The sequence below is a fragment of the Homo sapiens genome, chromosome 15 (assembly GCF_000001405.40).
Source record: "Homo sapiens chromosome 15, GRCh38.p14 Primary Assembly".
NCBI classification, from domain to species: domain Eukaryota; kingdom Metazoa; phylum Chordata; class Mammalia; order Primates; family Hominidae; genus Homo; species Homo sapiens.
The window spans coordinates 34,056,420-34,083,817 of NC_000015.10; the positions used below are offsets into that span (position 1 = coordinate 34,056,420).

A 27,398-nucleotide genomic window follows, 5' to 3' on the forward strand; every position below is an offset into this window, starting at 1 on the left:
TCCTCTGAGAAAGGCTAGATAAGCTAAGCTACCTCTGTGTTAAGCCAAATTAAGTAATGTTCTCTACTGCAGAACCTCCCAGCTTTCACTAGGCTAATGTGTCTTCTGAATCTTTGAGAGCTCTACATACTACATGGTATTTTCTCAATTTATCAGATCATGAAACCTTTTCAATCATGCATTTGAAGTAGTCCTAGTCTATGAGCAGACTCTGAGGAAGACTGTGTTAGCCTCGGCTCTCCTCAAGGTTGTTCTGCTTGAATGATTGGGAGCAGTTTGTTATGTTCCTAGAGGTAGAGCGCCCACCAAAAAAACTAAAGAGGAAGGGCCAGGTGTGATGTAATCCCAGCACTTTGGAAGGTTGAGGCAGGCAGATCACTTGAGGCCAGGAGTTCGAGGCCAGGAGTTCAAGGCCAGCCTGAGCAACATAGCGAGACCCTATCTCAAAGCAAAATGAAACCAGAAAAAAATTAGCTAGGGATTGTGGCACATGCCTGTAGTCCCAGCCACTCAGGAGGTTAAGGTGGGGGGATCCCTTGAGCCCAAGAGGTTGAGGTTGCAGTGAACTATGATCACACCACTGCAATCCAGTGTTAGCACCACAAAGCATCTAAAAGAGCCAGTTTGTGGTCGTGAAAATATTGCCTTATTATTTTACCCTGTCCCTTAATAACCATGCCTCAGGCTCATTCCTACCAGGAGAAGAGTTTTGGTTTTTTTTGGTTTTTTTTTTTAGGTGGAGTCTTGCTGTGTCACCAGGCTGGAGTGCAGTCGCATGATCTTGGCTCACTGCAGCAACCTCGGCTTCCCAGGTTCAAGCGATTCTCCTGCCTCAGCATCCTGAGTAGCTGAGAATATAGGCACATGCCACCACGCCCAGCTAATTTTTTTTTTTTGTATTTTTAGTAGAGACGGGGTTTCACCATGTTAGCCAGGATGGTCTTGATCTCTTTACCGCATGATCCACCCACCTCGGCTTCCCAAAGTGCTGGGATTACAGGCATGAGCCACTGTGCCCAGCCAGAATAGTCATTTTGATGCTCTTGTTGCTGGATTGCTACTTTGTAGTGAACATTCCCTTGTGTCAGGCACTGGCTGAATACAACATGGGTTATCTCATTTAATACTTAAAACAATCCTATGAGGTAAGGACTGTTTTTATCCCCACCTCAAAGTTTAAAATCTGAGACTCAGGTTAAGTAATGTGTCCAAAGTCATACAGTAAGTTGGAGCCATATGTTGTAGCCCACACCTGTAGTCCCAGCTACGTGGGAGGCTGAGGCAGGAGGATCGCTTGAGGCCATGGGTTCCAGCTTCAGTGAGCTATGATGGTGACACTGTTCTCCAGCCTGAGTGATAGAGCAAGACCTTGTTTCTAATAAATTAATTAATGTCATACAGCAAGTAATGGAACTAGGTTTTTAATCTGAAGCTGACCAATGCCAAATTGTGATATGATTGTGAGGTGATGTTACCACTGTAAATTATTTTCTTTTCCCTTTTAGCAAAGAGCTTATTCCATTTATCAGAGAGAGAGAGATTTATTTTTATTTTAAAGGACTGGGTCACATGATTGTAGGGGCTAGCAAATCTGAAATCTGCAGGCAAGCTGGAAAATCCAGCAGGAATCAATGTTGCTGTCTTGAGTTCTAAGGCAGTTTGGTGACAGAATTCCTTGCTCTTTTCATTCGGCACCTCAGTCTTCCCTTAACCCCTTCAAATGATCGAATGAGGCCTACCCACATTATGGTGGGTAATCTTCTTTACTTAAATTCTACTGATTTCAGTATTAATCATATCTGAAAATACCTTCGCAGCAATATCTAGACTGGTGTTTGACAAAACAACTGGGTACTGTAGCCTAACCAAGTGGACACATAAAATTAACCATCACACTATTGATAAATAAAAAATTACAGGAGGTCATTGTTTTGGACTAAGCTCTTGAACTAGGCTCCAACAAACCAGAATAAAAATCAAAATGGAGCCACCCATACTAAAGTTCCAAGTCAACAAACCTAAACTAAGTTGTTATTTGACCTGAGAAATCAGGAGAGAGAGAGAGCCAATTTCCCAAACAGGCCACTATAAATCTTCAATCAGCATAATAAGGAAGTTCTCTCTGCTTTAATTCTAACACACACACACACACACACACACACACACACACACACAGCCTGAAGTAACCTGATGTTAACTAACCAGTTATTTTCTGTTGTTCTGTCTGGAAGTAACTAATACACCCTTGTTCTTTGCTTCTGCTTTCTTCAGGCCTTCTCTGCCTATAAAGCCAAATTCTTCTGGTCAGCTCATCAGAACATTTATTTCACAAAATGAAGAATTGCCTGATTCTAGAATCACAAATAAAGCCAACTGAGATCTTTACAATTGTTTTAATTTTGTTTTTTGACACAATATAATATACAAAGTCATAGAAATGTAGGTATGTTAGTTCCCATAGTCCAATTTCCTTTTTTTCTTAACTTTCTTCTTTTGAAACAGAGTCTCACTCTGTCGCCCAGGCTGGAATGCAGTGGCAAGATCTTGGCTCACTGCAACCTCCACCTCCTGAGTTCAAGCAATTCTCCTGCCTCAACCTCCCAAGTAGCTAAGATTACAGGCACACACCACCATGCCCAGCTAACTTTTGCATTTTTAGTAGAGACAGGGTTTCATCATGTTGGCCAGGCTGGTCTCGAATTCCTGACCTCAGGCTATCCACCCGCCTCGGCCTCCCAAAGTGCTGGGATTACAGGCGTGAGCCACCACACCTGGCCTCCTTATTTTTTCTAATGAGGAAACAGATGAAAAAGAAGTACCCAGGCTATACATGTGTCCAAAGGAGTATGTGCACATCCAAATTCCCAGAAACTTCCATAAATTGCTTATGACCTGATAATAAAATTAAGTGGAAAAATTAAATCCTTCCAAAACACCATGTATTCCTATTTTGAAGAATTGATTAGAAAAAATTCAGCAAGCGGTCAGATCATTTTACTACTTCTCTCCGGACTAATGCTCCCCAACACCTGGATGTTGGGACTACCTTCAGAGTAGATGGGGAGTCTGGAAATAGCTGACACAGCTCTCCCATAAAGCTGACTTTTCTCTTAGGTCCTCTCCTGTCCCTCCTTCTCCTGCCAGCCTCTCCAGTTTCACCTTTCACTTCTCAGCTTTCTTTGGCTCCAGCTACCTTGTTTCTTTCCATTCCTCCTCTTTTGCCTCTGGGCTTACAAACAAGCTCTTCCCTTCCCTGTCTGAAACATTCTGGCACTAGCATCCCCAGCCTCCACCCACCTTTTGCCTAGCTATTGGTGACTTCATTCTTCAAGTCTCGACTCTTAGGTCTCTTCCTCAGGAAGTGCTTCCCATGTCCACTCAACGAGGCTGGAGGTCCTTCACAGGTGCCCCTATGGCATGTTGCACCCCTGCTATTTCTATCTGCTAATTTATTTACATTCCCAACTAGTGTCTAAAGAGCAGAGACATTAGCCTATTCCATGGTATCGCCAGCATTAGAGTCTGTTCCATAATAAACATTCAAATATTTAAGAGGGGCAGGAGAGGAAGGAAGAAAAGAAAGAATAAAGGAGAAAGCGATTTCCACAGGCCCTTTTTTGCACTGTGTGGCTTAGATCTGACCATTGGAAGATAATCTGTGATGGCATTTGCCTAGAGATTTGTAGAGTGTAGAGTAACTGGTCTTTTCAGATGCTGGGGAATCTCTACCTAATGACCTGGCAACCTTAGAATTTGCTTCAACAACTTGAAGAATGTTGATAACACCGAGGTATTATAGGTATAAGCTGACAGTTGGTAGCAGCAGGAATGGAGAGGGACCAAAAAGAGGAGTCTTCGTGGGTCAGTTAGACTGCATGTGTTTGGGAGGTGAAGAAGCATGCAAGATTGGGAAGATGGGAGAATCTGGTTTCCGGTGCAAGACAATATCATCAACTCGATTCCATATTGAATTTGAGGTGTTATGAAAACACCCAAAATTACAGCTGAAAATATAAAGCAAAGCCAAGAAAACTGTAGCCCTTTGCAAATTTGTCACCTTTCTGTCAGTTACTGTTATCAAAAAAGTGTCAAGACTGGCCATAGGCAGAGCAGAAATACCCCATTAAATAAAATTGCCCACATGGGGTATTTTAAGGGTCATCAAAAAGATTTTCACCGGGCACGGTGGCTTTCGCCTGTAATCCCAGAACTTTGGGAAGCTGAGGTGGGTGGATCGCCTGGGGTCAGGAGTTCGAGACCAGTCTGGCCAACATGGCGAAACCTCATCTCTACTAAAAAGTACAAAAATTAGCCAGGCTTGGTGGCTGTAATCCCAGCTACTCAGGAGGCTGAGGCAGGAGAATTGCTTGAACCCAAGGGGCAGAGGTTGCAGTGAGCCGAGATGGTGCCACTACACTTCAGCCTGGGTGACAAGGGCAAGACTCTGTTAGCCGGGCGTGGTGGCAGGCGCCTGTAGTCCCAGCTACTGGGGAGGCTGAGGCAGGAGAATGGCGTGAACCCAGGAGGCGGAGCTTGCAGTGAGCCGAGATAGCGCCACTGTACTCCAGCTTGGGCAACAGAGCGAGACTCCGTCTCAAAAAAAAAAAAAAAGATTTTTTTTTTCCCTTTACCGCCCATTATCATGTCAAGGTGGTGTTTGTTATATATCATCAAATTTATGTTGTATGCATATATATCTCTAGAAGGAAAAATAAATGGTAGCAGTGGTTACCTCTGAAAATGGGGAGCTTGCAAGCTTGGAGGTCAGAGGTGGGAGGGAGACCTAATTTCTACAATTTACCCTTTAGTACACACTGAAATCTTTATCATGTACATAGATTTTTTAATCTACAAAGGGAAAATTTCATTTTAGTTTTGAAAGTTAAAATTTGTCAACAGAGGGTTAATTAAATATAGTACATCCATTAAGTGGAATAATGTACAGTCATTACAATGAAAGTGGTAGCTCTAGATGTACTGATAAAAAGCTGTCTGTGATAATTCATTTGTTAAGTAAAAAACAAAATTCAAATTGTAAATGGTAAAAGGCACCCATTTAAAATAATTATTAGTATATGCATAGGGGAAATTGTATTTAAATATTTATTTATTAGTATATGCATATGGGAAAATGCCAAAATATACACTAAACTGTTAGCATTGATTACCTCTGCAAGGTGGAATTAGAGGAGACTTTTGCTTTCTAAGATTTACATTTTGACATTGTTTGAGCTTTTATAAGGAATGTATTACTCTATAACCAGAAAAAAGATAACCTAAAACAATTCTATGATATTGCAAATAGTTCAGGAACAGAGAGAAGGTCCTTATCTTCAGCAGCTGGGGCAAATGTAAAACCCCCTAGATGAAAACCAGATATGCACTTGGAGTTTGTGCATTAGGGCAAGGAGAGGTGGTATAATATGGTCTTGGCTCACAACGGCACCTCAGTAATGTTTAATAATCAAGACTGGGACTATAGAATAGATACCACTTTTTCCCCAGTGCATGACGATTTAGGTATTTATCACCAGGATCTTAAAAATATAGGGTTTCAGCCCTTATGATCATTGCAATCTAAAGTGATTTAACATCCCTGCTTTCCTCTCTTTACTGCTTCTCAACAATCCATTTTTTTTCCTTTCCCTTCACCCTCCTCGTCTTCCCAGCCCTTTTTAAAATTGCCACAAGAGGGCAGCAGCCTCATGCATAAGAAGGGCACTCAGCCATAGGTAACAACAAAAAGCAAAAGGATGCCATTAAAAATAGGTGATCAAACTTTAGAGATTTCAGCATCTTGCTCTGAATATGTGTGCAGCCACGTTTAATATTCCATTAGAAACTATAAACAATGGGCCGGGCGCGGTGGCTCACGCCTGTAATCCCAGCACTTTGGGAGGCCGAGGCGGGTGGATCACGAAGTCAGGAGATCGAGACCATCCCGCCTAACACAGTGAAACCCCGTCTCTACTAAAAATACAAAAAAATAGCTGGGCGTGGTGGTGGGAGCCTGTGATCCCAGCTACTCGGGAGGCTGAGGCAGGAGAATGGCCTGAACCCGGGAGGCGGAGCTTGTAGAGAGCTGAGATCGCACCACTGCACTCCAGCCTGGGTGACAAAGCGAGATTCTGTCTCAAAAAAAAAAAAAAAAAAAACTATAAACAATGGATGGACAAGAAAATCATGCTGGTGTGCGAAGCTAATGTGTTTCCCTCTCTTCCAGATGCTGGCCAAGAAGAGCTGAAATAGAAAACAGCCTAGAACCTAACACTATTTACTGTAAAATTTTTGCACCAGGATGGAAGGGGATTCTTACCACAATGCAACCACCGTCAATGGCACCCCAGTAAATCACCAGCCTTTGGAACGCCACAGGTTGTGGGAAGTCATCACCATTGCAGCTGTGACTGCTGTGGTAAGCCTGATCACCATTGTGGGCAATGTCTTGGTCATGATCTCCTTCAAAGTCAACAGCCAGCTCAAGACAGTTAACAACTATTACCTGCTCAGCTTAGCCTGTGCAGATCTCATCATTGGAATCTTCTCCATGAACCTCTACACCACCTACATCCTCATGGGACGCTGGGCTCTCGGGAGTCTGGCTTGTGACCTTTGGCTTGCACTGGACTACGTGGCCAGCAACGCTTCTGTCATGAACCTTCTGGTGATCAGTTTTGACCGTTACTTTTCCATCACAAGACCCTTGACATATCGGGCCAAGCGTACTCCGAAAAGGGCTGGCATCATGATTGGCTTGGCCTGGCTGATCTCCTTCATCCTCTGGGCCCCAGCAATCCTCTGCTGGCAGTACTTGGTTGGGAAGCGGACAGTTCCACTGGATGAGTGCCAGATCCAGTTTCTCTCTGAGCCCACCATCACTTTTGGCACTGCCATTGCTGCCTTCTACATCCCTGTTTCTGTCATGACCATCCTCTACTGTCGAATCTACCGGGAAACAGAGAAGCGAACCAAGGACCTGGCTGACCTCCAGGGTTCTGACTCTGTGACCAAAGCTGAGAAGAGAAAGCCAGCTCATAGGGCTCTGTTCAGATCCTGCTTGCGCTGTCCTCGACCCACCCTGGCCCAGCGGGAAAGGAACCAGGCCTCCTGGTCATCCTCCCGCAGGAGCACCTCCACCACTGGGAAGCCATCCCAAGCCACTGGCCCAAGCGCCAATTGGGCCAAAGCTGAGCAGCTCACCACCTGTAGCAGCTACCCTTCCTCAGAGGATGAGGACAAGCCCGCCACTGACCCTGTCCTCCAAGTGGTCTACAAGAGTCAGGGTAAGGAAAGCCCAGGGGAAGAATTCAGTGCTGAAGAGACTGAGGAAACTTTTGTGAAAGCTGAAACTGAAAAAAGTGACTATGACACCCCAAACTACCTTCTGTCTCCAGCAGCTGCTCATAGACCCAAGAGTCAGAAATGTGTGGCCTATAAGTTCCGATTGGTGGTAAAAGCTGACGGGAACCAGGAGACCAACAATGGCTGTCACAAGGTGAAAATCATGCCCTGCCCCTTCCCAGTGGCCAAGGAACCTTCAACGAAAGGCCTCAATCCCAACCCCAGCCATCAAATGACCAAACGAAAGAGAGTGGTCCTAGTCAAAGAGAGGAAAGCAGCCCAGACACTGAGTGCCATTCTCCTGGCCTTCATCATCACATGGACCCCGTATAACATCATGGTCCTGGTTTCTACCTTCTGTGACAAGTGTGTCCCAGTCACCCTGTGGCACTTGGGCTATTGGTTGTGCTATGTCAATAGCACTGTCAACCCCATCTGCTATGCCCTCTGCAACAGAACCTTCAGGAAGACCTTTAAGATGCTGCTTCTCTGCCGATGGAAAAAGAAAAAAGTGGAAGAGAAGTTGTACTGGCAGGGGAACAGCAAGCTACCCTGAAAAGTCAACAACTCCTCTCGAAAGAACAATGACCACAGTCAACATCCTCTGAGGATGAGCAAGCTGATTCTGGTTTGTATATTTTCAAAAAGAAGACATCTCATTTTGAGTCCTTGAAGATTTTTGTAAAGGCTCAAGTTTGGTTGCCAAATGGAAGGGGCCATAGCTGCAGCAATTGCTGACATATTAAATGACTCTTGCCTATGACCAAGGCCATTTGATGCCAGGGGAGTTTGCCAATGAAGTAAAGGGATAGGCTCATGGCCCTTCACAAGAGGAAGCACACTGGGTAACAATGAACAGTGACTCAGGGAACTTATGCCCCTTCTGTAGGAAACAGCAGAGACCAGGTGGAAACCTTTTCCTGTGGAAACCTGTCATAGAATTTTGTGCAATATGTATGTGTCTATGAAGCTGTCTTGTGCCAGTGAGAACCAGCAGGAGAATGTACAACAGTGTCACTTGTTAACGAGACTGATATTCAACAGGCTTCTAAGAATATGTATCTTCATAAACTGATCACTATCTATTATGCAGCTATTATGTGGTCTATACTATACTGTGGTTTGTTTTCCTGTCCCCACATCTGAGTGAAGGTCTTGCTCTTCCCTTTCATATCCAATGTCAATTCCTTGTACTCACTGAACCCATGCTGATCTCCAGGGAACCATCCTTCCTCTCAGAATCCAGAGTCTGGAAGGACTGAAACCTGGTCATACCCAGTCCTTTCAAGGGGCCTCTTTTCTACTAATAAAGATGGATCAAGTCTCCACAGTCAGTTATTTTAGTTTTTGCCAGTGGAAATTTTTTCTTTTATCTAAACAGATATTGTGCATTCTATTTTGTGCCCATTTGAACCCATTTATTTATGCTCTGTTCTTAGGAAGACTAATTGTGTAAGAGCCCTTCACTGGCTGAAGATTTTCTCCAGGCTGTTGAATTAAGGTTCTTATATTGTTTTCAGAGATCTTGCTTTCTAATCTCTTCACAGGGCAAACCTGAGCAAAATGTGGAAAACAGATTTGCTTTTGAATTTCTTCCAGAGCCCTTTTGCAGCCTCCAATTTCCCTTGTTCAGATCCCCAGTTCACACCAAGACGCAAGCAGGTCAGCTGTGCTGCCTCCAAGCAGGGGGTTGTGGGGTGAGGTGGGGGTAGAAAGTCTTTTTTTATAGGTCCTTCAAATCAGGGCCTAAAAATGACTTCTTTATTCCTCTCCAAATTCGGTCACAAATGAGAAGGCCAGAAAAGCACACTTGAGGGTGCGATGAAGCTGAAAATGATCTGAAAGCTTCATTTTTAAAAACAAAGTGTAGGTCATAGTAATACATAAAAATAAAACAGTTGACATGCATGACAGCATGAGGATTATTAAAAACCACACTTAATTGAAATCTCTAAGTGCGTATAAACAAACGGAATCAAAGGACCTTTGTGGACAAAAGTCCACAAAGAAGCAGTAGTGTGGTACACAGCAAGGATTTTAAAGATGAAGCACTCCTGTCAGACATTATTTAACTCGTTGGTTACATCTGCAGCTGGACTTAAAAATCACCAGACTTCATGCGTCTTAGTGTAGGCCGGGTCCTTTTCAGTCTCATTTGCTAAGAGGATGGAAAATTAGCTGGTTTAGTTGTCCTGGGAATTAGATATGTACCTGAGTATGGGAGAGCTTCAGCCTACCACTGAAGAGCATCATCAGCCTCTCACAGGATGTCCCACGGAGGCTTCAGGGTAGTAGAATCTCAGGCAGGACGGGACTGGTCCCTTATAAAGACTTCACGTTGACATGAAACATCTTGTAAGCAGTGCATCTGCTGAGCCTTTGTAAAGGGCAGGTTGACACCTGCAAAGAATTCGGTGGGAACAGTAATTGGCTCAGTTCTCCAGCACAGAGGCTTTCGGGCCTCCGTGATGCCAACTGGGTGTGACTTCATGAGCAAACCTGCTCTACCAGCGCCAGATAAACAGTTGAGTCTTCGTTTAAGGCTTTGATTCCTGATAAAGATGAAAACCCCTTCATGAGAATAGGCTTTTAAGCCCATGTTGGGCATTCACCATTCGCAGTTGAGAGTGAAACAAGCTAATTTAAACAAAAGAACACAAATCGGGAAAGGATGCCATGGAGGGCACTCCTCGCACACTCCGCACTTGCTTAGGACTTGGCCTTTTTTGTTCATCTTTTGTGAAATTGATTAAGAAGTGTATTGCTGGGTGTGGTGGCTGACACCTGTAATCCCAGCACTTTGGGAGGCTGAGGCAAGAGGACTGCTTGACCCTAGGGGCTCAAGACCAGCCTGGCAACATAGGGAGACCCTGTCTCTACAAAAAAAATTTTAAATACCTGGGCATTAGCAGGGCATCGTAGTGTGTGCCTGTAGACCCAGCTACTTCAGAGGTTGAAGCAGGAGGATCGCATGAGCCCAGGAGTTAGAGGTTGCAGTGAGCTATGATCACACTACTGCATTCCAGTCTAAGTGACAGAGCAAGACCCTGCCTCAAAAAAAAAAAGAGAGAGAGAGAGGTCAATGCTTCTTTTTTTATCATTGGTTTTGGAAAGCAGCCAGTTTTGCAGACTACCTATGCCTCTTGACATAGACAAAAAATATCCCAAACTACTAGGGACAACTAGACTTCTATAGAATAGCGGCTTTAGTGGGGTCCTCAGAATGAATAGACCTAATTGTAAACTACAGGGACCTGATGGGTGGGTGGGAGGCGCATGGCCTGACTTGAGATCTTAGGCCTTCTATGCCCCCAGTCTTCCAGGCTTTGTCTATAGTAAACCATGTATGACTTTGGCTAGTTACCTACTGGATGCTGTTACTTTGCTATCATTGTAATTTGTTTCCCCTTGGCTGTGAATTTGATGACTTGTCAGGGAATCTGTTTTCCATTCAATTTTTGGTTGAACAAAGCATTTTGTCAATATTCTCAGCTTTTGCTTCGCTCCTTTGGTGAATGTCCTTTGAAGACAATACTGATGCCAGCTCTTTGTAATTGTGAAATCTGTACCCAAACCTCTGGATTAGAATCTCCAGTTGTCTACTGTAAATACTGGAATTACAGCAAAGGATATGGGGACTGGGCTGCTTTTCTGTATTGTATAAGCACTATTCTAGATATTAAAGAAATTTAACCGCACAGTGGTCCAATGCAGAGCATTTAAATAAGAAAATTGTTTCAGAGTAGCCTATTAGATCCATCTATATTGGGTTTCCCACACACCTTTGCATGGCCTGGCCTTTCAAGAAAGTTGGGATTGATACACAGTATGGATACACGTCCTTCTTGCTACCTTTTGTGATTCCTCCTTCCCTCTAAGTTACCAATGACCAAACTAAGATTAAATAATGATGACAAGAGATCTGTGAGTAAAACGCTTTCCCTTCCCTATGGGACAAGGGAGGTGGGGCAGACCTGAAACCACAGTCCTTTACCGAGTGGAGACTGCACAAAAAGGGGCAGCAGCATTTCCTTGTCAACTATTTAAAGAGTCGGTGCCCCACTCCATTCCCATTGTAAGTGATACTAATTTCCATCTTCCCCACATCATTTTACTGGTAAAGTTCAAGATTATGTAAACTCTTGCCCAATAAAGACCCCAGATCGAGAGTGAGCGGAAGAAGGGAAAAAAGTTTAATTGTCAAAGAAGAAGCTGGAAGCAATTAAAAACAAAACAAAACTTTTTTGAAATCATTTAAAATTTACAGAAAAGTTGCAAGAGTAATAAGAAGAACTCCTAATGTCCTTCACCCACATTCCGCACTTAACGTTTTGCCACATCTGTGCCTGCTCTCTCTGTATGTGTGTGTGTGTGTGTGTGCACATTTTTTTCTCAACCATTTGAGAGTAAGTTGCAGACCTCTTGCCAATTTACCACTAAATACTTCTTGAGTGTGTATTCCTTTTTTCATTCATTTTTTTTTTTTTTCAAGACAGGGTCTCACTCTGTCATCCAGGCTGGAGTGGCAGCTTCGACCTCCCAGACTCAAGTGATCCCACCTCAGCCTCCCAAGTAGCTGGGATTACAGACGCACGCCACCACGCCAGGTTAATTTTTTCTACTTTTTGTAGAGACAGGGTTTCACCATGGTGCTCAAGCTAGTCTTGAACTCCTGGGCTCAGGCAATCCACCCGATTTGGCCTGGCAAAGTGCTGAGATTGCAGGCAGGAACCACCGCGTCTGACCTTAGAGTGTGTATTTCTTAAGAAGGAGGAGATTATTTTACATAACCTCAATACAAATATAAAAATCAGGAAATTTGACATTGTTACAATGTTATTATGTAATCTACAGTCCACACTCAAATTTTACTAGTTTTTCTATTTGGGAAACTAATATATGTTCATTATAAAAATTTATTTTCCAGTTCAATATCTAATCCAGGATCACACATTGCATTTAGTTGTCATGTCATGGTTAGACTTATTTAATCTGTCTACAGCTTTTCTGTCTTTCATGATATAGTCATCTTTTAAGAGCACCTACAATCCAATTTTTTTTTTTTTTTTGAGACGGAGTCTCGCTCCTTTGCCCAGGCTGGAGTGCAGTGGCGCAATCTCGGCTCACTGCAAGGTCCGCCTCCCGGGTTCACGCCATTCTCCTGCCTCAGCCTCCCCAGTAGCTGGGACTACAGGCGCCTGCCACCACGCCCGGCTAATTTTTTGTATTTTTAGTAGAGACGGGGTTTCACCGTGTTAGCCAGGATGGTCTCGATCTCCTGACCTCATGATCCACCCGCCTCGGCCTCCCAAAGTGCTGGGATTACAGGAGTGAGCCACCGCGCCAAGCCCCTACAGTCCAATTTTTAAAAACAATTTCGGCTGGGCGCGGTGGCTCATGCCTGTAATCCCAACACTTTGGGAGACTGAGGAGGCTGAATCACGATGTCAGGAGTTTGAGACCAGCCTGACCAACATGGTGAAACCCTGTCTCTACTAAAAATACAAAAATTAGCCAGGCATGGTGGTGCGTGCCTGTAATCCCAGCTACTTGGGAGGCTGAGGCAGGAGAATTGCTTGAACCTGGGAGGCTGAGGCAGGAGAATTGCTTGAACCTGGGAGGCGGAGGTTGAAGTGAGCTGAGATCGTGCCACGGCACTCCAGCCTGAAAACAGAGAAAGACTTCATCTCTAAAAATAAATAAGTAAAACTAATTTCATCAGTTTGAGGCTATCTGATATTTCCTTATTAGATTCCATTTAATTGTTTTTGGGGGGCCAAGAATATCACAATGCGTTACTATGTTCTCAATGCATCACATCAGGAGGCATATGATGTTCTATCTCATTATTGGTGATGTTAATATTGATCGATGTTTTAAGTACACTAACCTTTTAAGTAAAGTTCCAAGATTTGCTTATAATTTTTTTATCTTCAGATTGAAGGGATATACTCAGATTACTATGCTCAATAATTGCTTTTGTTAATTTTTTTGATTCAGTGTGGTTATATTGTTCATTTGAAATCAGTTGGGTTTGCTCCTATTTATATTGAATTTCAGAGTTTTCTCCCATAACTGTTTATTTAATTTCATTTTCTTGAATAAGTAAAATATTAATATGGTTGAACATCAAAACGATATGAGAAGATACACTCAGAGAAGTGTCACTCTATCCTTTATACCTTCCATCCCATTCCCACCTGTATTAGTCTGTTCTTACACTGCTATGAAGAAATACCCACGACTGGGTAATTTATAAAGAAAAGAGGTTTCATTGACTCACAGAGTTCTGCATGGCTGGGGAGGCCTCAGGAAACTTACAATCATGACTGAAGTCACCTCTTCACAGGGCAGCAGGAAAGAAAATGAGTGCCAGCAGGGAAAATGCCAGATGCTTATAAAACCATCAGATCTCGTGAGAACTTACTATCACGAGAACAGCACGGGGGAAACCGCCTCCAGGCTTCAACTACCTCCCACTGGGTCCGTCCCACAAGACATGGGGATTATGGGATTACAATTCAAGATGAGATTTGGATGGGAACACAAAGCCAAATCACCCTGTCCTGTAGATAACAAATTTTCTTCAGTCTCTGGTTTATCCCTTCTTTGTTTCTTTTTTTTTTTTAAATCGAACTCTTTTAGCCATTTTTGTATCCATATTTTAAAATATCCATATAGTTTTATTTTAATGTTTTTAGTTTAAGAAAATATCTACTGACTTTCTACCGAGAAAAATAAAGGTTTGATTCTTACATAGTGATGACTACTTACCAAACAGCCACTCCTCTGGCCCTCAGTCTACAAAGCTATGCATAAATGGGTACCTTTATGAAGTGATCACTTGGATACAGGGTGCTAGAGCTCTCCATTGAGCTAAGGATGTGGGTCCTAGAAAAGAAGACACAGTCTAAGTCTTGGAGCATCTACTGATATTGAGAGCTACGAATACACCAAGTAGAACAAGTTGAACAACTCTGGAGACACTAAGTAATAACAGGCAAAAGACTGACACTGTTAAATATTCACATTAAACTCAAAGAGGGCACAGCCAGTATTATTCTGCAATAAATTTCACTGTCCCCCATCTCCCCTGATGAATTAATGTGCATGAGGTGGGATGGACGGGAGTTAAAACCTTAAATTTCTCTGTGATCTGTGATTAGGCAAAGAAAGCCAAGGTCTAACTCTGCTCACTGGGCTTGACTACCACCCTGTGTTAGTGTGCTTCGTGTCAATGCGTCTGTCCAAAAAGTCCTAACTTTTAATTTTATATGGCTCTTGAACAAACCTCATCCCACCCACCAGATGCCTCCAGTGATGCCTTCATGCTCCTGCTAAGAGTAGTTCTTCAGAGGGTACTTTCCCAGTTCTTGGCAATGATTTTCTGACAAGGGTTATCTTGCATGAATGGATCTTTAGTGGTGTCCTAGTAAAGGAATGGGCACCCTTACCTTCAACAAAGAATGGCTCATACTCAACTCACTTACCCCAATATTACTAGCTAGGGAGTTGCTGCTTATTTTTCATTTTAATTTTATTTTGAGACAGAGTCTCGCTCTGTCACCTAGAGTGGAGTGCAATGGCATGGTAGCCTCCATCTCCCAGGCTCAAGTGATACTTCTGCCTCAGCCTCCCAAGTAGCTGGGACTACAGGTGCATGCCACCATATCAAGCTAATTTTTTTTTATTTTTAGTAGAGATGTGGTCTCTCTATGTTGCCCAGGATGGTCTCGAACTCCTGAGCTCAAGTGATCCTCCTACCTCAGCCTCCCAAAGTGCTGGGATTCCAGGTGTGAGGCACCGTGTCCAGCCAGGTGCTTATTTTTAGTAGTTCCATGTGTATCCAAAGACAGGTTTATAGTCCAGCCACTTTCAATCAAAATCCATAAAGCTATTGATCATGATGTACTAACTACAGCTCAGTGCCCCTAGTATACCATATAGTGCACTGCAGTGGAAAACACCAGGCTGGAAAACAGTAAAGAAGAACAAGTGATACAAATTTAAACTGGTATTTGGAGGACTACTCTTTCTCCCTAAGAAACTAGACTTCCATGAATAAAAAATCCTTTGATAGGTCCTTTCATACCCAAAAGATAGGACTTATCAATAAGAGTCAGAAACAAAATGAAGTCTTTAACTCAGAAAACTAGACTAGGTTATCTTTTATATTCACTATATGTAATAATATAGTCATTAATATATTAATACATATTTTCTGGCCAGGCACAGGGACTCATGCCTGTAATTCCAGCACTTTGGGAGGCTGAGGCAGGAGGATCACTTGAGGCCAGGAGTCTGAGATCAGCCTGGGCAACATAGCAAGACCTTATCTCTACCAAAAAAAAGTTTTTAATTAGCTAGGCATGGTGACACCCGCCTGTAGTCCTAGCTGCTCAAGAGGCTGAGGCGGGAGGAACTCTTGAGCCCAGGAGTTCAAGGTTACAGTGACCTATGATGGCACCATCTCTCTCCAGCCTGGGCGACAGAGTGAGACCCTGTCTTTAAAAAAATAATAATAATACATATATTCTAAGAAAACAAATAAGCAAATAAAAAATTACCTGGGCCGGGCGCAGTGGCTCAAGCCTGTAATCCCAGCACTTTGGGAGGCCGAGGTGGGCAGATCACGAGGTCAGGAGTTCGAGACCAGACTAACCAACATGGTGAAACCCCGTCTCTACTAAAAATACAAAAAAATTAGCTGGGTGTGGTGGTGTGCTGTAATCCCAGCTACTCAGGAGGCTGAGGCAGGAGAATCATTTGAACCCAGGAGGTGGAGGTTGCAGTGAGTCAAGATCTGGCCACTGCACTCCAGCCTGGGCAACAGAGATTCTGTATCAAAAAAAAAAATTACCTGTAATTTTATTTTATTTTACTTTTTATTATTATTATTTTTTTGAGATGGAGTCTTGCTCTGTTGCCCAGGCTCTGGAGTGCAGTGGCCAGATCTTGGCTCACTGCAAGCTCCGCCTCCCGGGTTCAACACACCATTCTCCTGCCTCAGCCTCCCGAGTAGCTGAGATTACAGTACACCACCACACTCAGCTAATTTTTTTGCATTTTTAGTAGAGATGGGGTTTCACCCTGTTAGCCACGATGGTCTCGATCTCCTGACCTTTTGATCCGCCTGCCTTGGCCTCCCAAAGTGCTGGGATTACACGCGTGAGCCACCGCACCCAGCCTACCTGTAATTTTAATACCCAGAAATAATCTCTGCCAAATATCTTACCATCTATCCTTCTAGTCTTTTTTCTATGTACAGACACTTTTTTTTTTTCTTTTTCTTTTTTTTGAGACGGAGTCTCGCTCTGTCGCCCAGGCTGGAGTGCAGTGGCACGATCTCGACTCACTGCAAGCTCCACCTCCCGGGTTCACGCCATTCTCCTGCCTCAGCCTCCCGAGTAGCTGGGACTACAGGCGCCCGCCACCTCGCCCGGCTAATTTTTTTTTTTTTTTTTTTTTGTATTTTTAGTAGAGACGGGGTTTCCCTGTGTTCGCCAGGATGGTCTCGATTTCCTGACCTCGTGATCCTCCCTCCTCGGCCTCCCAAAGTGCTGGGATTACAGGCGTGAGCCACCGCGCCCGGCCTGTACAGACACTTTTTTAAACACACAGAGCTGTTAAATACTGTTTAGCAATCCTCATGCTCATATCTTGCAGAAAATATCTGGTCATTCAAACTCTTCAAAAACAAAAAAATCATAAGGCTTCGAGTAACATAGGGAGCTCTTTTTTCTTTTCTTTTCTTTTTTCTTTTTTTTTTTTTTTTTTGAGACGGAGTTTCGCTCTTGTTGCCCAGGCTGGAGTGCAACGGCATGATCTCGGCTCACCACAACTTCCGCCTCCCGGGTTCAAGCAATTCTCCTGCCTCAGCCTCCCGAGTAGCTGGGATAACAGGTGCACACCACCACACCCAGCTAATTTTTGTATTTTTAGTAGAGATGGGGTCTCGCCATGTTGGCCAGGCTGGTCTTGAACTCCTGACCTTGGGTGATCCACCCGCCTCGGCCTCCCAAAGTGTTGGGATTACAGGCGTGAGTCACTGCACCTAGCCAGGGAGCTCTTATCCATAACTAAACGTAGATTAGAAAGAGATTACTTCTGTCCTTTTCCATGTCTGTTACATGCACCCAGTACAGCTTAGTCTACAGGAACTATTTCCATCGGAATTCTTGAGAAAAAACAATTACTGTTTGGAGGAACTTTCTTTTTTCTTCTTCTTCTTTTTTTTTTTTTTTTTTTTTTTTTTGAGACACAGTCCTGCTCTGTCATCCAGGCTGGAGTGCAGTGTCACAATTTCGGCTCACTGCAGTCTCTGCCTCCCAGGTTCAAGCAATTCTCATGCCTCAGCCTTCTGAGTAGCTGGGACCACAGGTGCACGCCACCACACCCAGCTAATTTTTGTATTTTTAGTAGAGATGGGGTTTGACTATGTTGGCCAGGCTGATCTCGAACTCCTGACTTCAAGTGATCCACCCGCCTCAGCCTCCCAAAGTGCTGGGATTACAGACATGAGCCACTGCACCTGGCCCATGGAGGAACTTAAAAAACAAAAACAAAAAACAACCAAAAAAAAGTATATTTAAATTTTAGAATAACTGTGTTAGTTTCCTAGGGCTCCAGCAACACAGTTCCACAAACTGGGTGGTTTAGAACAACAAAAATTTACCATTTCATAGTTCTGGAGGCCAGAAGTCTGAAATCAAGGTGTCAGCAGGGCCATGATCCCTCTGAAGGAACTGAGAAAGGATCTGTTTCAGGCCTCTCTCCTAGCTTCTGGTAGTCTTGTGTTCCTCAGCTGTTAAATGTCCATCTTCTCCCTGTGTCTCCTCATATCATCTTCTCTCTTTGGTGTCGGTCTCTGTGTCTCAATTTCTCCCTTTGGGGGATATCAGTTATATTGGATTAGGGTCCACCGTAATGACTTCATCTTACCTTTATTACCTCCTAAAGACCCTATTTCCAAAGACAGTCACATTCTGAAGTACTGGGAGTTAGGACTCCAATGTATCTGTTTGTTGGGGGGACACAATTCAATCCATAATAATAACCAAGCAAGAAAAACACTTTCCTTTTTTATAGTTGAACGAACTGTAGACCAATGATGGGTAGTATTGAATGGAAAGGATTGACCAGGTGCGGTGGCTCACACCTGTAATCCCAGCACTTTGGGAGGCCGAGGAGGGCAGATCATGAGGTCAGGAGATCGAGACCATCCTGGCTAACACGGTGAAACCTTGTCTCTACTAAAAATACAAAAAGTAGCTGGGCGTGGTGGCACACGCCTGTAGTCCCAGTTACTCAGGAGGCTGAGGCAGGAGAATCAGTTGAACCCGGGAGGTGGAGGTTGCAGTGGACCAAGCCAAGATCACGCCACTGCACTCCAGCCTGGGCAAAAGAGCGAGACTCTGGCTCAAAAAAAAAAAAAAAAAAAAAAAGAACTACCTGAAACTGGGTAATTTATAAAGGAAAGAAGTTTAATTTACTCACAGTTCCGCATGGCTTGGGAGGCCTCAGGAAACTTACAATCGCAGCGGAAGGGGAAGTAAACATGTACTTCTTCACGTGACAGCAGGAGAGAGAAGTGCAGAGTGAAGAGGGGGAAAACCCCTTATAAAACTATCAGATTTCATGAGAACTCACTATCACAAGAACAGCATGGCGAGGAGTGCCCCCATGATCAAATCACCTCCCACGAGGTCCCTCCGTCAACACATAGGGATTACAATTTGGATTACTATTCAAAATGAGATTTGGGTGGGGACACAGAGCCAGACCATATCATTCACTATCTTTTTATATCCAAGAATCACCAGCTAGGCAATCTAATTACTCCTTTGTTTGGTTACTTATTTGTTCAGCAAATAGTTATTGATCTATTTGGAAAGCTTGGGGATGTGGAAGGGAATAAGACACTGTCTCTGCCCTCTAGGAACATAGACTAACAGAATGATGGATGGAACAACTACAGTAACTACAAAGAAAATTGTCCCAGTGGTGGCTGAAGGACATGCTCCTCCCCAAGAACAAGCGTTTTGCTTCTCCAGGCCTCTTATTCCCTGCTCTTTGGCACAGAAGGAAAATTAGCACTGAAGCCTAAACATATAGGCTTGAAGAGGAAGGATGACTGAGGAATGACAAGATGAATGCGGATAACATCCAACATTCCACTCACAGGATCTCACAAGCACAGGCCTCTGATCTTTTTTTTTTTTTTTCAGTTTGGTTCCCAGTTCCTGGACTACATGCCAAGGTACTGTGTTTTTCAGAAAGAAGACTTGCCCTGTCTAGATATACCCTAAATTTCTTATTCCATAATCCAACTTCTTCTCAAGGGAGGAGCAGAGATCAGGTAGAAATACAAAGAAATTAGAGTTTTCCATAGAATTCTCCAAATTTTCAAAATCAAATGCATACAATCACACACATTAGAGCACAACTTAAAGCAGTGAGTACAGAGTCTCAAGGTGGGAGCAGCTGGTTCACAGTAGGAGTGCTGAGGGCCTACCAGGAATGAGGAGACCTCTGAGAGGCTTTGAAAAAGACCGGAAACCTTCCTTCCAACCAATTCCCACCAGCTCCAAAGAGGATGAAGGGAGAGAAACCGTCTTTATGCCACTGGCCTCTGCTGGGCTACATCATTTAAAGATTTGAGGTTGGGCCAGAGGTAGGCAGAGAACAAGGCAGGAGGGAAGACAATGCTTATTTTTCCTCCAACTAACATATTCTCTCAAAGTTTCTGGGACTCTGAGATTTCTACTAAAGATTCTAGGCTTTCTTGGCAATGATTTTCATATACCACAGTTTGCTCAGAGACCTGTTATCAGTACATCATGGCCAGGTGATCACAGCCAGTCACAGCCAGCTTCAGGTCTCCATAAGAGGGAGTCCCTCCAGAATTGTGTGATTTGCCTGTGGCAATCACATCTATTTTAGGTGCATTAGGGGGAACTATGTGAAGGACGCTTCTAGTGAATCCTTTAGTAAAGTGAATAATTACTTCTAGGCTTCAACTAGAAGTGATTGGAAGTGATAGAAGTCATTGGAAGGAGCCTTATGACTTCACCACTTTACTTATTATTAATGGTCATTAGCCACAGTCACCACCATGTTACTCACAAGATTCAAACCCAAGCTGGCCTGGCTCCCAATCTGTGATCAGTTCTACCTCATTGTCTCAAGCACACTGAACACCATACACAGGGCTTTCCCTTATCATTTTTCCAGAGAGAATCAGGGTATTGTCCTCCAGAAGATAAGGCGAGTTCAGGCCTGCAATGCAACCAGGCGATGTCTGCCTACCTTTTTCGCCTCTCTTCTCTCCAGCTGTACTGTTCTTTCAGTTCCTTCAAGAGCCAAGCTCCAGGCCCACCCCTCCTTCAGCTCAGACTAGGAAGCACCTCATTCTTATCCCGCTCTTCTCAGTCTCAGCCTGGTTAATTCCTAGTCTTTCAGTCTTACCTATGAGTCACTTTTTAATGGAAGTGCTCTTACATTTGCCCTCTACCCACCCATTCGGGTTCCCCATTTATGAGCTTATAAATGACTTTTTCTTGGTAGCATCTACCAAAGTTTTCATTAGATACCTGTGTGTGTTTGGTTGATTCAATGTCTGTGTCTCCCTCTAAATGCTCATCTCTGAAGCCAGAGTTCATGCTTATTGTGCTCATGATCATATCCCCTCACCTAGTAGCCCTTGGCACATACGTGGCAACAGTACTTCACAATGTATTCTGTACTAAGTAAGTATGTGCTTACCTGCGATAGGAGATGGTTACAAGGCAAGGTTCCTGGTTTTTGTTTTTTCCTGTATTCTTAGTATCTTTATGATTCCCTGAAAAGTACAAACTTAATTCACCATGGGTCTCTGATCTCTATCCTTGTCTAACGATTTGAGTTAGGATCCCAACAATATGATAGAGCTGTATGTATGGCAGCCATCCCAGAACTATTTTAGAGGAGAGATTAATATTCTTCCTACCCTTCCTTGAGGACAGGACTGTTGTACTACTAGTGCTTTACAGTCCAAGGAGCTTAGGGTCCAGGTAGGGAAGTCAGAGAAGTAGACAAGTAATCTCAGAAAATGAAGTGCTATATATATAATAGGATAAGCCAGGCATGAAGGGGGACAAGGAGGCTCTTATCTGATCCTCATGAGCATCTGGAAGATTTCTGTAGAAAGTCCTAAAAAAGATGTTACAGGTTGATAAGGGAAAAAAATAGGCATGGGGTGGAGAGCTGAGATGAAGAGATACTCAAAAAGGCTCAGAGGTGAGAGAGCATGGAGTTTTCAGAGGGGAATTGTGAATAATTTGAGATACATAGGGAAGTGGCAAGAAGTGAGTCTGAAGGAACTGTGTTCAGGGGCCAAAGATGTTTGTCTTGAAGTCCATGAGAGTCAACACAGGGTTTAATTGATGAGTGATCCCATCAGATTTGCCTTTTAGAAACATCTTTAAGATTAGTGTCTAAAGCTCCAGTTACCAGAAACTAGGACTACAACTACTTTCTCTTGGAAGTCAATTTCTCTTGACTACACCACTGCTTTCTCTCTAAGGAGAGTTTGGAAGGAGAGAGGCAAGTCCCTAGATCATGCCAATAGAGGTAGGAGGAGGGTGGACAGGTTGGAAGAGATGTATACCATGTGTTGACTATGGGTATATTAATGTTTTTCAGTTTAGCATGTGAGAGCAGTACTACAGAAAGCAGTTAACAGTTTTCTCTAGATTAAGACCACTTACCCACTGATGAGTTTGGGAAATTGTTTAACCTGTTTCCTCATCTGAAAAATAAGAATATTAATAATTATAAACTCATCGAGAACTTATATGCCTTATCTCACTTATGTGTGGAATCTAAAAAAGCCAAACTCATGGAAGCAGAGAATGAAATGGTGGGTTGAGGGGTAGGAGAAATGGGAAGATACTGGCCAAAGGGTACAAACTCAATTATAAGATGAACAAGTTTCAGGGATCTTAACTACATCATGAGTGATGGTGGATGTATTAATTAATTTGATTGTGGTAGTCATAATACAATGTATATCAAATAATCACATTTTATACTCTGAATATAGTCAATCTTTATAAATTATTTTTAAATATTTTTAAAAGGGAATGAAATAAATTTACATTCATATATATGAAAAATTTGATTTCAAAATTATCTAAGAGGTACAAATATGAATCAATAGATTATTAAATTTCAGTGGAATTAAACGCCTTGTCAACAGTTTTCTGTTGGAAATGCTGCGTATAGCTAGTTTTTACAGTTCCACTCATTCCTCCAGTTTAATGTTTGACCTTAATTTACTCCTTCCTCTTCTCAGGGTTGCTTGCCTGGCTGGCTCAGTCCTACCAGACAGAAGCCACTGTGGAAAGCTTCAGTTCCCCTAGTGCTCATAATAAGATCGTTTTACCATAAACTAAAGAGATAAGCTAATATTTGGAGCTATTTTGGGGGCATTTTAAAATTTTCAATACTTCATCTTTTACCAAGAGTATAAAAACAATATCCACAATTTATAGACACCATTTGAATTTTACCGAAGCTACTTTCAAGTTCTCCTGAATAACATAAACATTTAAACCAAATGGATATTCTCACCAGCCTTATAAATTTAAGACTCTAAATAATGAAAATAATCACACCTAAAATGCGGAAGAGCTCAGTACAACTGGTCCCATCTCAACATACTCTTTGAGCTGAATTAAAAGACTCAGTCACTAGCTTCTGTTGGGTTACCTGAAATTGGTGCTTAGCAGAATTTTTGCTGGGTTTAAATACAAAATGTACATACATGATTGTAACCATGCAAATGTATGTCTATATGTGACCCGAAAGGCAATAAGCAAAAATGAAAATAGTGGTTTAAAATATTTAATAAAAATATTTTCAGTAACAGTTTTTAAACAAAAGATACTCTAGTTGAGCACTTAAAAAAAAAAGAAACAAGCCAGGTGTGGTGGCTCACACCTGTAATCCCAGCACTTTGGGAGGCTGAAGTGGATGGATCACGAGGTCAGGAGATCGAGACCGTCCTAGCTAACACAGTGAAACCCCATCTCTACTAAAAATACAAACAATTAGCCAGGCATAGTGGCGGGCACCTGTAGTCCCAGCTACTTGGGAGGCTGAGGCAGGAGAACGGCATGAACCCGGGAGGTGGAGGTTGCAGTGAGCTGAGATCGCGCCATTGTACTCCAGCCTGGGCAACAGAGTGAGACTGTCTCAAAAAAAAAGAAACAAAAAACACTCAAAACTTCCTGAAAGTCTGAGTGACTAGTTAAATGAAAAGCTCTCCCTTATCTTTATGGACACTGCTTATCAGGACCTTCAAACCCTTCCAACTACTGAGAAGTATGCTGTGTGATAGTATCTGCCCTCCTGTCAGGGAAGGCATAAGGGAAAAATGACAAGATGGTTTTCTACTCAGGGCAGTTTAGGTAAAATCCTGTATCTTTTCAAAATGTTAACCAGATCTAGGGTAAATCCTGAGGTTTTGGCTCCCAAAAAACTGTTTGAAACTTGGGAGCAATAGAGATGTCCTGGAGAAATCATCCTGGACATTCAGGACTTTTTGGCAAGAATGGACAGCAAAATTTATTTTGCACAAAGTCACTGTTCAGATTTAATTCAGTAGATGTGAAAAATTATAAAACACAAAACTTACATTTAAAAGAAGATACATAGTGACCGGCTCATGCCTGTAATCCCAGCACTTTGGGAGGCCAAGGCAGGCGGATCACTTGAGGTCAGGAGTTTGGAGCCAGCCTGGCCAACATGGTGAAACCCGATCTCTACTAAAAATACACAAAATTAGCCAGGGGTGGTGGCACTCGCCTGTTATCCCAGCTACTCGGGAGGCTGAGGCAGAAGAATCGCTTGAACCTGAGAGGCAGAGGCTGCAGTGAACCAAGATGGTGCCACTGCACTCCAGCCTGGGTGACAGAGGGAAACTCCCTCTCAAAGAAAAAGAAATAATATATATATATATATATAATAAAATTTTAAAAATAAATAAAAGGAGATACATATAAACCAAATCTAACAAAGGCTCTAAAGAAGAGCAAAACAATACTTTGTTCCAAATGGGAAATAGCAGAAAGAATCCAAGGAAGTAAAATAAGAAAGCCAGCACTGATCATATGGTTCTTAAGGGTAGGAAATACTAGGACTGGGCTAAAAGTATAACAGAATTTGAGATTTCAAATTTGAAATTTCAAAAAGAAATTTACAGGTCTAATCCAAATCCTTCCATTTATAGATGAGGAAACTTAAGGTCCATTTATTATTCATTCAACAAACTTTTATTGGTGTGCCTACATGCTAGATGCTAGAGATAGTACAAAGACCAAGACAAGACATGGTCCAGGACAGTGACTTGCTCAAAGTCACAAAGCAAGTTAGCAGCTAACCAGGGGCTCTTTGCACTAAACCCCATATTGTCCAATAATATATAGTCATTTCTGTGCCTATAAGCACCTTAAGCATTTGATGATGGTTCTATGAAAATATAAGATTTTCATACACAACTGATACATTTCATAAGGGGTATATATTATATTTAGAGGTAATATGATAAGGGGTATACATAATATATAAGGGGTATAGATTATATTCAGATGCTGTTAGAATCCATGTAAAATAACCAGTTTCTTATGTAGCATATGAAACAGTAATTTCCTTGGAAGTGCTTCCTAATTTCTCAGTCATTAGGTGTTGTGCAAATGTTGACAATCTAAATTATAAAATTTTTATTTATTTTTTAAGTTTGGGGGTACATGTGAAGGTTTGTTACACAGATAAACACATGTCACAAGGTAAATTATGAAATTTTAAAACATGGTTTCTGGTCATATGACTCTTACTATGTCTCCTTTGAATTACAAAGGAGAATGTCATTTTTTTAACTTAATGTTTAAGTGAAAATTAGAACACTAATTTTTTTTTTTGAGACAGAGTCTCACTCTGTCATTACGCTGGAGTTCAGTGGCGTGACCTTGGCTCACTGCAACCTCCACCTCCCGGGTTCAAGCAATTCTCCTGCCTCCGCCTCCCAAGTAGCTGGGACTACAGGCGCATGCCACCATGCCCAACTAATTTTTGTATTTTTAGTAGAGACGGGATTTCACCGTCTTGGCTAGGATGGTCTTGATCTCTTGACCTCATGATCTGCCTGCCTGGGCCTCCCAAAGTACTGGGATTACAGGCGTGAGCCACCGTGCCCGGCCTAAAACACTAATTTTAAGTGAAAATTAGAATACTAGTTGAATGAACGACATTTAGCTAGTGTTCTAACACTTTATTTTCATAAATGACTCGATTTTAAAAGACCTACTTCTATCATTAACCTGTTGACCCATCTAATCATTCATAGCTTAACCAGTTTGGTAACAGTGTATGTAATATAAATAGAAACAGTTAATAAAATGTTCTGCATCAGAACTTTTTTTTTTTTTTTTTTGAGACAGAGTCTCACTCTTGTCACCCAGGCTGGAGTGCAGTGGCATGATGGCTGACTGCAACCTCCACCTCCCCCAGGTTCAAGCAATTCTCCTGCCTCAGCCTCCCCAGCAGCTGGGATTACAGGCGCCTGCCACCAAGCCTGGCTAATTTTTTGTATTTTTAGGAGAGACAGGGTTTCACCATGTTGGTAAGGCTGGTCTCAAACTCCTGACCTCAGGTGATCCTCCCACCTCAGCCTCCCAAAGTACTGGGATTACAGGCGTGAGCCACAGCGCCCGGCCCAGAACGTATTTCTTTAAGAGAAAACACGTACCTCATTTTTAAATGAACAATAGCACCTAATACAAAAGAGAAAATTGAGTTTGGAAGCTACTCTGTTTTTTTCACTGATTTAATAACTTTAAGAAAGCAATACAGGAGTTATTTAATATGGGAAAGAATAGGAACCCTCTACTAGAAGCAGTACTGTGGCCTGAGAGTTCTTTAATTAAAATAACCCAAAAGGAAAAGGTGTGAAAATGTTGTAACTTATTGAAATAAAAAACTTTTGAGATACTCCCGATTGGAAAGTAGTTATTTGGCCAGGCACAGTGGCTCACAGCTGTAATCCCAGCACTTTGGGAAACCGAGGCAGGCAGATCAACTGAGGTCAGGAGTTGGAGACCAGCCTGGCCAACGTGGTGAAACCCCATCTCTACTAAAAATACAAAAATTAGCTGGGCATGGTGGCACATGCCTGTAATCCCAGCTACTTGGGAGGCTGAGGCAGAAGAATCGCTTGAACCCAGGAGGCAGAGGTTGCAGTGAGCCGAGATCGTGCCCTTGCACTCCAGCTTGGGCAACAAAGGTGAAACTCTGTTTCAAAAAAAAAAAGAGACCAGGCGTGGTGGCTCACGCCTGTAATCCCAGCACTTTGGGAGGCTGAGGCGGGCAGATCATCTGAGGTCAGGAGTTCGAGACCAGCCTGGCCAACATGGTGAAACCCCGTCTCTGCTAAAAAATACAAAAATTAGCTGGCTGTGGTGGCCAGTGCCTTAATCCCAGCTACTTGGGAGGCAGAGGCAGGAGAATTGTTTGAACCCGGGAGGCGGAGTTTGCAGTGAGTCGAGATAAAGCCATTGCACTCAAACCTGGGGTACAAGAGCGAGACTTCTCTCAAAAAAAAAAGAAAGTAGTAATTTATCTTCTAACACCTCTGAGAATCTATGATGAGAAAGATGAGGGGACTGAAAAGCTACCTGTGTTATATATCTCTGTTACAATATGGAGGTCTAAGGTTGATTCCCCATCCTCAGGATCTAGAAGGCTCTCCTACTGTTGTACTTCTTTCCCCTGGCCATTCATTCCCTGTTATTATTTGTCCTCCCTCCCGACATAATAAGTTCTATCAAGGAGAAGCACTTGTATATTATCCATCTCTGTATTCTACCTTGCATCACAGCACAAAGCTGGTACTCAATAATTGTAAGACGAATACCATAGATGGTAACCAGAATAAAATAGTTGATAAGATCTATTGTGATTCATATATCCATACTCTGAAACTAACTGTAATAATAAAAAATTGAAACTACATCAGCAAC

The 27,398-nt window shown here is 42.7% G+C and overlaps 2 protein-coding genes across 5 annotated transcripts in view, besides 1 other annotated feature; one reads left to right on the forward strand and one right to left on the reverse strand.

The window, feature by feature from the left end:
• CHRM5 (cholinergic receptor muscarinic 5) overlaps nt 1–11,039 on the forward strand; it is a 98,962-nt gene extending 87,923 nt beyond the window's left edge. For both annotated transcript variants that reach the window (NM_012125.4, NM_001320917.2), the window contains one exon: nt 6,224–11,039. In NM_012125.4, coding sequence (NP_036257.1) covers nt 6,299–7,897 — 1,599 coding nt within the window. In that variant the 5' untranslated portion in view covers nt 6,224–6,298 and the 3' untranslated portion in view covers nt 7,898–11,039. The remainder of the gene's footprint in view (nt 1–6,223) is intronic.
• AVEN (apoptosis and caspase activation inhibitor) overlaps nt 1–18,906 on the reverse strand; it is a 223,545-nt gene extending 204,639 nt beyond the window's left edge. The window contains exons 1-3 of one of the 3 annotated variants that reach the window (XM_047432882.1): nt 18,838–18,906; nt 18,017–18,226; nt 14,169–14,232 (exon numbers count right to left, since the gene is read on the reverse strand). In XM_047432882.1, the coding sequence (XP_047288838.1) occupies nt 14,169–14,232; nt 18,017–18,024 (72 nt within the window). In that variant the 5' untranslated portion in view covers nt 18,025–18,226; nt 18,838–18,906. Of the gene's footprint in view, nt 1–9,552; nt 9,742–10,239; nt 10,284–14,168; nt 14,233–18,016; nt 18,508–18,837 lie in introns of those variants that run through there. The other 2 variants (XM_011521818.3, XM_024449999.2) reach the window with 2 other exon arrangements.
• Nucleotides 13,755–13,955: a silencer, noted in NCBI's record as "peak2290 fragment used in MPRA reporter construct". NCBI's record gives its function as "represses an SCP1 promoter by STARR-seq MPRAs in K562 erythroleukemia cells {active_cell/tissue: K562}" and the evidence as "EXISTENCE:reporter gene assay evidence [ECO:0000049][PMID:32103011]".
• Nucleotides 18,907–27,398: the final 8,492 nt, after the last annotated feature.